The 15,046-nt window shown below is 40.3% G+C and overlaps 1 protein-coding gene and 1 long non-coding RNA gene across 12 annotated transcripts in view; one reads left to right on the forward strand and one right to left on the reverse strand.

Moving 5' to 3' along the window:
* FMN1 (formin 1) overlaps positions 1-15,046 on the reverse strand; it is a 429,171-nt gene that overhangs the window by 21,135 nt on the left and 392,990 nt on the right. For all 10 annotated transcript variants that reach the window (XM_011521509.4, NM_001277313.2, XM_011521504.4 and 7 more), the window contains one exon: positions 12,126-12,275. In XM_011521509.4, coding sequence (XP_011519811.1) covers positions 12,126-12,275 — 150 coding nt within the window. The remainder of the gene's footprint in view (positions 1-12,125; positions 12,276-15,046) is intronic.
* The window catches only part of LOC107984089 (uncharacterized), a 36,512-nt gene that overhangs the window by 2,201 nt on the left and 19,265 nt on the right, over positions 1-15,046 (forward strand). The window lies entirely within an intron of this gene.

Genomic DNA, 15,046 nt, shown 5'->3' on the forward strand with positions numbered 1-15,046 from the left:
TGAATAGAGAAGATTGAGGGCAACGTTTTGATCTTTTTCTCATTAGGCTTACCTGAAACATAGATGGTATTAACGCCATAAGGGCTGTTTTAAATATGCTTTCAGAGGGATATGGCTGTGTCCAGCCATCCCTCCAACCACTGCCTGGTGGCCTGAACATCAGAAGTAAGGCTCTGTCCACTCTATATAGTTTGTTCAGGTCTTTTGATACTACTCGAGTCTATACAAGGTACAGCCCCCAGTTCCCAGAGCGAAATTGTTTCTCCAGGCGAAAACGGGCTAATGTCCAACTTTGATTCTAAATAAGTGAGATCGTAGAGACCTGACCAGGGCTGTGAGGACCACTCTCATTTCTATCCATCTTGACAACAGTCACTCACGAGGCATTTCTGAATTCCTGACATAACTATCGCACGAGGTTAACTGCTATAAAAGTCAATGAAATAAGTAAAGTCACTCCCTACTGTAAGAAAAAAACAACAACAAACTCATTAATTTCTCAATTTAAAGGGAAATTTTTTCCTTGCTGCAGCAGCTGATGAAAACATCATTGACTAGGCTATGTGGAATGTTTCCAAAGGGTAGAAAAATAAAACTAAGAGAAAAGAGCCATAAACAGTAAGAAAGAATGGGTAACCCCAAGTTCATTTATCCCAGGCAGGCCAACAAGGCCACATACTTAGACAGACACACTCTTCCATGCTCATTTTCTCTTCAGAGTCTGACCTTCGGCCCTGACCGCTCTGGCACCGACCACCTCCTGTGCCTCCCAGGTCAGTTTCACTAGCAGCCATGATAAAACAGACCAGCAGGAAAGTAAGAATACCAGCAGAAAGTAATCTTAGGCTTAGCTCCTAACACACCAGAATTTAGCCTTTAAAAGTTATTCCAGTTGGGCATGGTGGCTCACACCTGTAATTCCAGTGCTTTGGGAGGCTGAGGCAGGACTGCTTGAGGCTAGGAGTTCAAGGCCAGCCTGGGCAACACAGCAAGACCCTCTCAACTAAAAAATGCTTTTTAAAAAATGAGTTGGGCATGATGATGTGTGTCTGTAGTCCTAACTAGTCAGGAGGCTGAGGCAGGAGGATCACTTGATCCCAGGAATTGGAGGTTACTATGATGACACCACTGCATTCTAGCCTGGGCAAAAGAATGAGACCTTGTCTCTTAAAAAAAAAAAGTTATTCCATGATAAATTAGCATATCACTTCTACTTTGTCCAATTGTGTACTTTGTCAAATCTAAATCTGACAATTTTCCCTACTCTATTCCTAAGATATTTTCCTATTTAAAAGTAAAAAACTTCTCTTAGAGACTGCATGCATTTCACCAGCTACACAGATCAGCCACTTCATAGTTTTTGTGAGCTATCACTTGTATACCCAAACATACTTTGACTTCAAGTGATTAATTGCAGAACAAAGTCCTCTTCCGTTTGCAGAGCTTCTCCCCCAGGACACAGGGGAGTTGAAGTTGGGGAGCCCTGGACTTGCCCTGGAATGCATGATCAGTTAAAGCCAATCACTCTGCACTTAGTAGACATAACACCCAGAGCCGACCCGGCGATTTAGGTGCAGAGTGAAAGGTAACAGCATCGCATTCATTTCCTCATTTAGGGAGAGTAGTCTGGGAGACAGTTTGAAAACTGAAATCAGCCCTGTGTCATAAATTTGCAAATTTAATTGAAATGCATTAGTCTTTGGAAGACATTTCCAATCCCGATAATGAAGACATGCATGTGCTAGCAGATGCAAGCTCCCCCTTTTGGTTTTGAAACCTCTACCACCTACTGAGTCTCACCAAAAACTAGCACTGAGAGCCTGTTTGCATGGGTGACTGGAACAAAAGGGTGAGGAAACAGGGAAGATTGTCTGGAGTAAGGAGTCTCTCTGGCGCCCCTCAAATCATTCTACCCAGGCAGCCCCCTGTTGCATCTCTGCCCAAGGCAGGAGCTGTCAGGAGTCCCACAGATAAGTAATTTAGAAATATTCTAGGCTGAATGAAGGAGACATACTTTAGGTTTCCATTGTTCTCTGCCAAGCTAGGGAAATGGAGTGCGGACAGATGCTCTCTAAGGTTTTGATTTGAGCTCCAAAGAGGTTTGAGGCTTGGCATAGCCATGAATCCAAAGGATCTCCACTTCCTTCTTTTTTTCTAAACAAACTGAAAGTAATACAGTCAAGAACAGAGCTGGCGATTGTTTTATTCCATTAACTAATCTTTCTTGTTCTGAACATGTCTATTCTCTTTAACAAAGCTATTAAGATTTTAGATTCTTGGGCAAAAGCAACCCATATGGGATACATTTAGGGACTTCTACCACCAAAACCCAAATAAACAAGATTTTTCATCTATCAGCAGCAGACAGCAAATCTTGCAATCAATTTCAACATGGCAAAAGGAAACACAATGATTATTTATTTGTTCAACAAATACTAACTCAGCATCTACTATATATATGGAAAAACAAGGTGCTACAGAGAAAACAAAGTGGTACAAGACATTGTAATTATCTTCTAGGGGCCTATGATTTATCTAAAAGAGAAAGTGCCTATAACCAAATGAATAAAAAACCAAATCATTAAATGACAAAACTGAAGATACAGTAAACCCCCAAAATTCTGGAGATACGATAGCTCACACAGATTGGAGAAAGCTTCATGAAGGACACCGTATGTGATCAATAAATTTTTCCAGAATAGTTTCATAGTCTGTATATCACTTGAGACATAATATTTTTAGATTATACCATTATGTAAATATTATAGTAGTTTTAAAGTAGAGTCACACACTGCATAATGACATTTCGGTCAAAGACAGACCTCATATATGATGGTGGTCCCATAAGGTTATAATGGAGCTCAAAAATTCCTATTGCCTAGTGAAGTCATAGCCACCATAATGTTGTGGCACAACTACTTTATTATAAAAATAAATTTAGTGTAGCCTAAATGTACAGTGTTTATAACATCTACAGAAGGGTACAGTAATATTCTAGGCCTTCAGATTCACCCACCACTGACTCACTGACTCACCCAGAGCAATTTCCAATCCTGCAACCTCCATTCATGGTTAAGCGCCCTACACAGGTGTACCATTTTCTATCTTTTATACTGTATTTTTACTGTACCTTTTCTGTGTTTAGATATGTTTAGATACACAAATACCATTGTGTTACAATTATATTCAGTACAGTAACCTGCCGTACAGGTTTGCAGCCTAAGAACACTAGGTTATGCCATACAGCCTAGGTGTGAAGTAGGCTACACCATCTAGGTTTGTGTAAGTACACTCTATAATGTTCGCACAATGATGAAATCACCTAACAATGCGTTTCTCACAATGTATCCCGCTAGTTAAGTGACACGATTCTACGTGTTTAAATTAAGTGCTGCAAATTTATATTATAGGAATGTGCAAATACACAAGAGACTGGAGTAGACCAAGCACTCAAAGGAGGAAGCACAGAAAAGAAGGCAGTTAGGCTGATCCCAGGAATAACACTGCATGATTCCTCCAAACGCATGTTCAGTCACCCAGGTCCGCCTCTTTATGTCTATGTAGCCAAATTCATCTGCTGTCAATGCCCAGCTCATTTTCTACTTAAAATCACAGGAAGTCAGGGTTGGAAGAGAACTGCAAGATCACCTGAGCCCAGGAGTTTCTAAACTTGGCTGAAGGATCACTAGGAAGGTGTCAATCTCTGATCTCCAAAGCCTACCTGGTACATGTAAACAAGAGGATGGTGAAGCCAAGGCATTTATTAAGGAAACTAAACACAAAATGTGTTCTTGCTCTGCCATCTCTGTGGGGAGTTTCTAAAACCACAGATTTCTAGACTCTACACTCTGGTATTCTGATTCAGTGGATCTGTTTACATTTTTACAATGACCTCCAGGTGACTTGGGAGATCTGCCAGGTTTGGGAGCTGCTGATCTCTAACACTGCCCTACTGGCTTCTGAATCTCCTCTAAAACTATCTGCTTAGGGTGGTCCTGATTATGGCTAAGTGTCTTCTCAAAGCTCCCTGTAGCTTCCACATTTCCTTTGGATCATTTCTTCCTCCAAACTCTTACACCAGCCAAGATCTTCAATGCTCTTTCAATATCCAGCTGTGCGCTGGAGAATGCACCATACAAGACACAGCAAAGAACAGGCTTGTGTCCTAGAAGTGGAAAGATACACATAAACTGCTAAAATAACAAGTTGGAATGAATTAAATACTAAAGGATCGTAAGAAGAAAATGCTGTCAGAGCCCACAGGAAAAGCTAATTCTTTTATTAAGGGAGATTTCAGAACATTTCTACAGAACCTGGTTTCTGGAGGCAGCCCTTGAAAGACGACTCTATTTTGATCAGCAGGAAATAATGGGGGGAATGCGGTATGAAGAAATTATCCAGTGAGAACACAAGGAAAGAAAGTGCAGGTGTGAGACAGTGAGTGGTCATAGTAGGTGCAGGGAGGGATGAGGCTATAGGAAATGAGGCTAAAGAGTGAGTTTAGGGCAGGTTCTCAGAGGGCCATGCTATAATTTGGGAGAGAATATGAAGTTCTTGAAAGAACTCAAGCTTTAGTGTAAAAAAAAAAAAAAAGACCTAGGTTCTTATCCTCATTCTGTTTATTAATGAAACTATGACATTGAAAATTCATTTACTCTCTCATGCTTAGCTGTGAAATAGCAATAAACCTTTTTTTTTTTTCCTTCAGGGCTGTTGTGACAACTTAATACATTAATAAATTAAAGTACCATCCATGGCTAATTATCTTTCCTTTATTTCATGAGCAATGGAAAACCACAGAATATGTTTAAAGAGATAACTATGATCTAAATTCTGTTTTGGAAAGATAATTGGATGCAATATTCAGGGACACTTCAAGAGGAAATAGAAAACCTCTAGGCAGAGAGAAGAGTTAGAAGGATGTTTCAATAATCCAAGTGAGAGATGATAGAGTCCTGAATCAGAGCAGAGACACCTCAAATACAGGGTAAAGAACAATCACCATTAAGGGGGCAAAACTATAAAGAGTCAGAAATAGATGAAAAATAAATCTTGTAGCAGTAAAAATAATTCTCATTCCAGCCTGCCTTTTGCTAATAGGAGGAGGATAGTGTTGCAATTGAAAGTTAGGGAGCCTAAGAGGAATAGGCCTTAGTTGAGATGGAATAATTTCCAACCGAGACATATTGAATTGCAGATGAAGGCTGGGTATACAGTTTAATGTGCAGTAGGAAATGTAGGTCTAAAACTTGGGAGGCCTTGGCAATGAGGTGATAGGTGAAGCTGTGAAAATAGTTGGGACTAACAAAACAGAGAATAGAGCAGAAAAGAGGAACACTGAGATTTACCTTGGGGAAGGCCCACACTTAAGGAACAGAAGAAACAGAGGAACTAAGGAGGGAGATGAAGAAGGGGAGTAGTCACCTTCGCAGAGAGACCCAATATATTATCAGAGCAACGAGGCATTTCGAGATGGAGGAAACTACCATTGGTGTCAAAAACTAGCAGTGGCACACTTTGGGAGGCCGAGGCGGGCAGATCACGAGGTCAGGAGATTGAGACCATCCTGGCTAACACAGTGAAACCCAGTCTCTACCAAAAAAAAAAAAAAAAAAAATTAGCCGGGCGTGGTGGCAGACGCCTGTAGTCCCAGCTACTTGGGAGGCTGAGGCAGGAGAATGGCATGAACCCGGAAGGTGGAGCTTGTAGTGAGCCGAAATCGCGCCACTGCACTCCAGCCTGGGCGACAGAGCAAGACTCTGTCTCAAAACAAAATAAAACAAACAAACAAAAAAAACCCAAAAAAACTAGCAGTGGCAAAGAATTAGTTAGAAGGAGTCATCTGATTTCAGTTAGGAAATGTGACACAGTCTAGTAACAATCTCAATATGCAGTTCTCCTGCTTCCTTTAGTAAAGGAAACCATGAGTCTTTAGCAGGGACATGGCTCCCAGCTAAGCCTACATTTCCTGGTCTCCCTTGTGTATGGCCATGAGACTAAGTTCTGTCCAATGGGATAAAGTGGAAGTGATGTGTGCACCTTCCAGCTCATGCTATTTAATATTAAAAGGAAAGGTTGTGCAGTCCCCTTCCCACTGGCAGGAACTCAGCAGCAATGGTAGCAGTAGACCTGACGTGTGCCCCCTTACACGTTGGGAATAAGGACCTTACCTTAAGGACGGCAACCACAAAAGAGAAGAAAACTGGGTTCCTGACATCCAAACTCCTTGCATTCAGATTGTTATACATGAGGAAAATTGATTTTTCCTTTGTTTAAGCAACAGTTATTTTGGCCTCTGTTATGGCAGCCAAGACGTTATCCTTACTGAGACAGGAAGGAGTGTGTGGTACGAAAAAGGAAATAAGGAAATGAACGTAAATCATTCTTTTAAAAGAAGTTAGAAGGGAAAAGGAGACGGAATGATGCTTTCAGAGAGAGGGCCAAGAGGTGTGTATAGTTTTTTAAACCAATGATCCTATAATTCTTACAGTTTTTTAGTTTATCCTCTCTCCTTATTCATGGCATATTTTTAATTTTGCAGATGTAGTTTTAAATTTATTGCTTGGGGAATAAGCAGTTTTTATTATTTGTGATTTCTTTTTTTCTTTTCTTTTTTTTTTAAAGACAGTCTCACTCTGTTGCCCAGGCTGGAGTGCAGTGGCGCGATCTCGGCTCACTGCAACCTTCGCCTCCCAGGCTTAAGTAATTTTCCTGCCTCAGCCTCCCGAGTAGCTGGGATTACAGGTGTGCACCACCACACCCAGCCAAGTTTTGTATTTTTTAGTAGAGATGAGGTTTCACCATGTTGGCCAGGCTGATCTTGAACGCCTGACCTCAGGTCATCCACCCACCTCCGCCTCCCAAAGTGCTGGGATTACAGGCATGAGCCACTACGCCCGGCTGTTCTTTGTGATTATGACAATGTTGTTTATCAGTTAGGTCTTGGGGCATTTACTGTTTGTGTATTTGCACAGAACCATTTTCAAATGTGATTTAGGAAAATTCAAAGTTTTGACAATTAATTAGGGGGTGATTGTATTATTAAGGGATTTTTAAAAATAAGCAGCTCTTTAGTGGTTAAATGAATACAAGTCATTTAACTACATAACACAGGGCAAGGAAAAGAAAGTTAACATGTTACAAGTTACTGAAATTATCATGTATGTATGTCAGTAGGAAAGCAGAATTCAATAAATAACAATTTTATTTATGGAGCTTTTTCTAGGAGTAAGTTTATCATGTAAAGAAAAGAATTCCTGTAGTGTCTACACTGCAGTCAGTGGCTTGTGGATTGAGTGACAGCATCTCTAAGTCCCCAGCTCTTGGTCCTAAAGTGACCTGAGCAGTAGGGAGCTCTGAGAACAGCTTTCAGGATAGCCTCACAACAGCTTTGAACTATCTTCTGTAAAGGGTACAGCAGTTCCATAATCACCCATAACAGCAGCAAGTAATAGACTTAAAACAAAAACCCTATTGGTAGGTGGCTGGGTAATAAAAAAAACAGCCCCCTCGCCCCCAAAAGAAAAAAACAAGATAACTATCCATTCCCCTATGGTGTAAATTATAGCTATGTGTGTAGTGAAATTTCTTATTTTCATTTCACATAAAATTCACCAAACTTCTAATTCACTCATTACTTACCCATTATGGGGTTTTTAAATGGCACTTTTAAAGTTTGCTTTGGCTCAGGGTGAATTATATGCCCAGACTTTATTCCTGGAGTCATGACTCCCGTAGGCCTTCTGTACCTTTTGCAAATTCAAAGCTCATTTTGTGGGAGGCAGTGCTTCGTGTGCATGCGCGGGCATATGTGGGGGCAGTCTTAGGATATCCTAAATGGTGGAATGTTTTGTAAGTAAGGGTCCTATCACCCAGAATAATTCAGCAGCCAAAAAAAATAAAAAATAAAAAATAAAAAAGAGTAAAGAATAGCCAATAAAGGTATCAGCAAAAATTAGGTTACCTACTTGCAGTTATGCATATACTTGGATAATCTATTGATTTAACAGGTGGAAGAAACATGTGTACCAAAAATTCATTGAATGTTTGGATATCATGAGGTACAAATACAAAAGTGCATTAAAAGGTAAAAGTGAGGCAAAGTTGCTTCTGAGGATAAAATAAACCTTGGATTATGATACATCGTAAATGCAATGTTGGATACAGATGAGCAGAGAAAAAAACGTTTTGTGTACATGCTCCATAAAAAAACGTGATCTTCAAGAACAACATTAGGATCAGGCGTGGTGGCTCATGCCTGTAATCCCAGCACTTTGGGAGGCCAAGGCAGGAGGATTGTTTGAGCCCAGGAGTTTGAGACCAGCCTGGGCAACATAGTGAGACACCGTCTCTACAAAAATAAAAAAATAAAATTAGCTAGGTATGGTGATGCACACCTGTAGTCCCAGCTACTCAGTAGGCTAAGGCAGGAGGATTGCTTGAGCCCAGGAGGTCAAGGCTGCAGTAAGCTATGATTGCGTCATGGCACTCTAGCCTGAATGACTCAAAAGAAAACAAAACAAAGGCCAACATTAGTATTTTATGAGAAGAACTGGGGGTTCAGGTGAGGCAAGGTAGCTATAGATGTTTACCGATTTCAAGAGGGCAATGAAAATTCTTTCTGGCACCTAATCTCTCTCCCAACTCACCTGCAAGTCCTTGCTTGAAATATCTTCCAATATAGTACCTATAGCTCAAGAGCAAAGGTGAGGGGCACTATGGCAGAAGGGAAACACACAGCTCCTCAGAAAATTAGAACCGCAGTTTCTAGATTCATAGAGATTTTGAGCTAGAAGAGCTCATAGTCACCATTTAATTCCTGCTTCATCCTGATACATACATTTTACAGATGTGACAATCGGGTTCCCAGTGAATAAGTGACTGGCCCAAGATCACATAGCCAATTAATGGGGGTGGGGGGGTGGCAGGGTGAAGGGTAAAAATGCCTGTTTTCAGCTCTCTGTCTCCAGGTCTTTTTTTACACTGCTCAGCACTGCACATATTCAGAAGGGATAAGAGAAGGGACTGGGATGCTTCACTGAAAGATGAGTCCTGATACCAGGGGCAGCACGATGACTGAGTGGGTCACAGACTGCACGTCTAGAAAGTGGCGCTTTTGGATTTGTGCCTGGGCTCAGAAGTTTGCTCTTTTGCTTAAGATTGGCTTGAATGCCAAGGAAAATTGAAAGCCATTAATATACCACGACACAGTAGATTACTCTTCCAAAGATATAGTTAATCTCCAGGTAAACCATATTCCCCAGTGAAATATTGTTCCTTCTGCCGAACCACAGAGTTGTGCCCTGACACCAGTTTAATAAGATTATTGTTCACTCACAAGGCACAAGAACTTAGGACATTTTTATGTGGTCATTTGTATGTTACAGATTATTCTGGATTTTATGAGGGGAAGCTGTTATCTTGTTATGAAGATGCATTCATCTCAATTTTGTATCAAACTAATGTGTACTCATGAAAACTACCTAAGCAGGAAAAGTAAATATTCACCACCACCTAAAATTAACCTCCAGTGGCCTAAGTAGTTTTCAACACTTCCATTTCATTTGGAAGTAGAATTTAAACAAAACAGTGTTTTCCATGAAACCTGTCCCTTTGAAAATGCTAGTACTGATTCTTAATTTTTCCAATGATTTTGAGCACTTAGTTGGCCTTCCAATATATTTAAAAATTAAGTGAGTTGAATTTTTCTGATGAGATCCCAAACTAGTTTTTTTCTTTATAATTACACATCATCAGGTTTTTATTTTGGTTATGAATTTTATTTTTTAGGATGCCCTTGTTAATGATGTTATGTTGTCTCCTGATGTTTAGTGTTGTTGGGATATATTCGGTTTCTGGGGAAAGTATAATTGAAACTATAATATCAAATATCATTAAATAGATGTCAAAACAAAGCAATTATAGTGTTCCTCATTTAATAGAAAAATTCCAGTTAATTTGCTTATTTTACCATAATGAATGTGTGATTCTAACAGGAAAGAAGCTAAAATCTTTAGCAGACAGAGAACACTTTAACAAAGTTCTCACTTTAGGATTTTAAGAAAACCCTGGATATCAAGCAGTTTGTTTAAATGGTTGAGGAGTAATATACATAATGTGCTAATATTTCTTAACACACAGATTTTCCTAACCATGCTGCTGCCTCCAGAAATATCTTATTAGCCATCATCAACTTTCAGAGATGTTGTTTTAGGGTAGAAACCTTGGTGATCCATCCTCACAGAGCATGGCTGGAATGAAGGGTCCCCTGAAACTGCGAAATGAGAAGAACCAAAAAGGGTCTTGTGAGGTCATGACCCTGTAAAGGGGTTGGTTTACAGAGTGTGAAGCAGGCAATTCAACAGCTGCACCCAGGAAGCAATGCCACAAACGCCCGTGGCTGGGAATCAGAGATACTGTCATTTTGAAGGACTTCTGGATACCACCTCTATGACAGACTCACAATTTCTTTGATCTAACTTCTATGATACAGAACACTCTTTAATGTGGAATACAGTTATTTCAACAGAAGATCATTAACATATAAAGCAATTAATTGCCTTCTCTGTTGGTCTTTTGTTTGTTTTAGACCATTTTTAGGGCCCCAAGGACAAATATACTAAGGACTGTGCTCAAAATCTGAGGTGTAAAAATTCTTAAGCAAAAGCTGTACATTCCAGGCCCACTGTGGGATGTCCCAGCCTCAAGGTGTATGGACCTGGAGGGCAGACTGGCCAGCTCCTATGCTGTTTTAAGAATAGTATTTTCGTATGAGAATTGATTCCACAGAAACTTATTTTAGCTTACTTTAAAGGGCTAAATAAGTGATGGCAGGGCAAGAACTATGGGTTGGGTGCCAAGATTTTTAGGATTTTTTTTCATGTTATTATCAACGACCTATTTTCTCAACAATGGTACTTTTCTCTGCTTCAGTTTTATCTATATAATGGATATATTCAGTTTAATTCCCATGTTCCCAAAGAAGTACTGATGGGAAGATGTGTTGATAAACACATCTTTAACTTCCTTGGAAAGAAAGAAGGCCTTTCTCTTTTTTTAGCTCCCTGAGAAAATACTTAGAGACTAATACTAGGTCAAAAATCTCACAATTTTGCTCCTCTTACTAGTGTTTTAAGGTGAAATATATTAGGGTAGGTTGTGATGTGTCTAGAAATATATTATGTATATATCTTTTCTTTGATTACAAAGTGAAGAATAAAAATACTGAATTATGGAATGTCAGGCCTCACAGGTTAGTAAAAGGTAGATGCTATAATGAAATATATCATTTTCCTTACGCTGAGGAATTTTTTGTCTCCTTCCACTCTGTTTTGAATGCCATTCTTATACATCTGTTCCACAGGAGTAGTAGTAAGACCTGTTTGAAATTTAAATCCATGACACCCCTTCCATAACAGTGGCAACCCAATCACAAAAATGATCAGGCAGAAATGCTTTTTTCTGATAAATAGGGGCAAATTCAATCTCTCTAAGGAAAACGCACACACACACACACACACACACACACACACACACACACCCCGTCTATATTCAGAGTTGAGGTTTTTCTTCTACCCCCAGCTAATAAAATCGGGGGCTGCAACGAGGCTGAGCGGCACGCAGTTTGATGTCCGCAGCAGGATACAGGGAGTCAGAAGTGGCGCTGTAAATCCAATGCGGGGCTTCCACGCTGTGTGAAGTGTGGCCTGAGTCACAGAGATTTTCCTTTGATGCAAGTTCAGTATATTAATGGGAAAAGCATTCACTTTTATTTGTCTATACTGTCTGCGACAGCAAGGCTGCCTCATTTAGCCTGGGCCAACATGAAAATACACAGAGAAGCAATCTGTTGCAAATTAGCACAACCCTCCTTTCATTTACTAGCTAGTAATTGGAAGGGGTTAAGAAAGTGTAACTTATCAGATCATGTGAGCATATCTGCCTGTGTGGACAGCAAGCTTTCCCCGAATTTCCCTACGATCCCTGAGGCAAAAAGTCCTTCCCCTATGACCACTTCATCCGAAAGAAAACATCGACAGGTGTGAAATAGACACACTTTGATAGGTTTAAGAGTGCAGTTTCCTAGGCTCCTGAAGGAGGCATTAAAATCTTTTTTTGAACCTTACCTTTCTTTAGATATGTTTTTACTCTCCCGTTTCCAAATTGTCTTGAAGTCACTGCAGAACTCATACCACACCATAAACACGTAGCTGGGTGTGATCTCCTTCTCACCAGACTTTGGCTTCATCCCAAAATATCGTACTGTTGTTTCAAAACTGCAACAGGTAGGGGGGAAAATGGAATGAGGTAGAGGTGAGAAATTGCCAACACTAAAATCCATTAGAGGGGGGATGCTGGGGGCAGTTTCTCTTGTGTTTATTTTGTAACACAGAAGCTGGGGGCTCATAGTTACTGAAGTTTATTGTAAACCTCAGAAAATCTATTTGCTCAAACTGATTTGCCAAAAAATGGAACTTGATTGGGATGCTCCTGGGCACATCTTATCTGTATAAAATCAGCATGTATAATTTCTGGGGGTGTGTAGGTAAAACGTCTCGAGTTTGTTCTTCATCTCAAATCCCCGTCTCTTCCCTGCTCTTCATTTTATGTTTAGTGATTACATGCAAGGTGGATGACACACTGACTGCAGCATTAGCAGCGGTCAGTTCGATAGCTCATTGGGAATAATTAATCTGTCAAATGTTTCACAAAAAAGCAAGAAAATCCATTCTATCCTTTTTCGGGCATATACTGGCTTTGTAATCTTGGGTCAATCACTCAGCATCTTTGACTCTCAATTTTCTCAAGGGTAAAATAAGAGATGTAGATGATATGATCTTCAGGAGGGCTACCTTTTAAAGCTTAATATGATACAAGAATACAAACCACTGATGTACAAAAACAGATACAGTTGTAGGCATAGCAAGTTTTGGATGAAAAACCATTTCTGATCTTGGAAAAATGATCTCCAGTCTGGTCAGTAAAGAATCCCAATTTTCCAGAGTGGATTCCCAGATATCAGTAAGACCTATCCCAGCAAGGCTCACTGCACACCAGACTACCTGGGCCTCCCAAGCAGCCCTTCTTGGAGGCACTAGCTTTGCAGCAATTTACAGCTTTGAACTCAATCTTTCCCCCTCACCCCCACCTACCCCAAGCCTCACAAGCTCATTTGCCATGAGCAAGAACACTTAAATAAATGACCCCCTTTTCTAGGGTGTTGGAAACTAATCAAAGCAGGAATGGCTGGCCAGGTTTATTACTCAATGCTCTATCATCTGTTCAGACACAGTGGTTTTTTTTTTGTGTGTGGCCATCCTGAATACTGATTTTCTAATGGAACTCTATTCAATGGCGATTGTAAAACCCTGAAGCTCCGTTACTATTATGGAGCATACTTTCATCTCATTCTCGGTTATTGGGCAATATGTATCTCATAAGATTTTATCACATTTCACAGATGAACTGTTAATTGATTCCATGGGTACGATTAGGCGAGATCCAAGCTGGAGCTGCAGCTCTGAGTCCCATAAATTCTTTGTGCTTCTGTAAAGAATAAATCTGTTTTTAATGCAAATTAAAACTACTGGTCAGGGAATTTTGGCTCCCAGTTATTAAAAGACTGGAAATGTGTAAGTGGAGAAAGGCAATAACTGCAGTAATCTCTTAAGGGACTCTATTATAATTCCAAACATACATAATGTTGAGAAAAACCGGGAAGGGAAGAATGTGGCAATGTCCACTCTTGCCCCAGACATAACCCTTATTTCCATGGCAGTCCAAACACTGGTAAAACCAAATGTACACTCTATAGCATGTAACTTTATTTCACTCAAATGAAAATTATTTTGACTATAGCATGGGAATACATAAGTAGAGAGTTATATAACCTATAGGAACAGGCCATTCATTTCCTACAAAGTCACAGGACTTTAGAATGGGAAGGAATTTACAGGATGACTTGCCCAAATTATCATTTTATAGGTGACAAAACAGAGACCTGGAAAGACTGTGTGGCATTATTCCCTGGTAGGGTTGGGCCTGGAATTCAGGTCCCCTGATTTTCTGTGAAATGCTCTGTCTGCTTTATCTTTCTGTTGCTCATGCTCAATAACACAGGCATTTAAGAGACAAAATAGTCGTTCTACCCCACCCTTTTCTACTTTAGACACAGGTGTCCTCCTCTGTATCACACATAACATGCATTACCCCAGGGAGGGCATGTGATTATTTTTTCTCTTTCTTATGCTTACCTTCTATACAGATACATATTTATTTGAGCATTCATGGGGAAGGGAAAGTCTTTCATTTCTAGTATTTAGAGGGACAACTTATCTTCTGATTTTCCAGCAAAATATAGTGAAGTCCAGTTATTGTGCTTCATGGAACACCTGACACCTCTGGCATCACCTGGAGTCTAGATTGTGAGATCAACATATTGCAAATCCTGGTGCAGTTTCAGAGAATGTCAAGAGTGATTTGGTGGTTGTTGCACAGCCTGAGAAAAACACATCATCCTCCTGTGGGCCTCGATTTTCCCAACTCTAAACTGAAGCTAACCATTGCCCTCCTTGCCTCTCTCCCTGGGGATTTGTGAGGTACTGCTTGCTTACTCTCCCTGAAAGGGGGAGAAACACTAAAAAAAATACTAAATTTCAGCCTTTTTTTTCTTATGTGTTTTGGAAACTAAGAAAGCAAGTGAACCTCTTCAGAAGAACCAAAGTACACAGACTCCCAGAGGATGGCCTGGCTTTGGCACTCAGCAGCTTAGACAAAGATAAAGTCGCTTCAAGAATGTGCCTTATTTGGCCGGGCACAGTGGCTCACGCCTGTAATCCTAGCACTTTGGGAGGCCGAGGCGGGTGCATCACGAGGTCAGGAGATCGAGACCATCCTGGCTAACATGCTGAAACCCCATCTCTACTAAAAACAAAAACAAAAAAACAAAAACAAACAAACAAAAAAAAATTATTCAGGCGTGGTGGTAGGCACCTGCAGGCCCAGCCACTCAGGAAGCTGAGGCAGGAGAATGGCGTGAACCTGGGAG

This window comes from Homo sapiens, chromosome 15 (genome assembly GCF_000001405.40).
Source record: "Homo sapiens chromosome 15, GRCh38.p14 Primary Assembly".
In the NCBI taxonomy this organism is placed as follows: domain Eukaryota; kingdom Metazoa; phylum Chordata; class Mammalia; order Primates; family Hominidae; genus Homo; species Homo sapiens.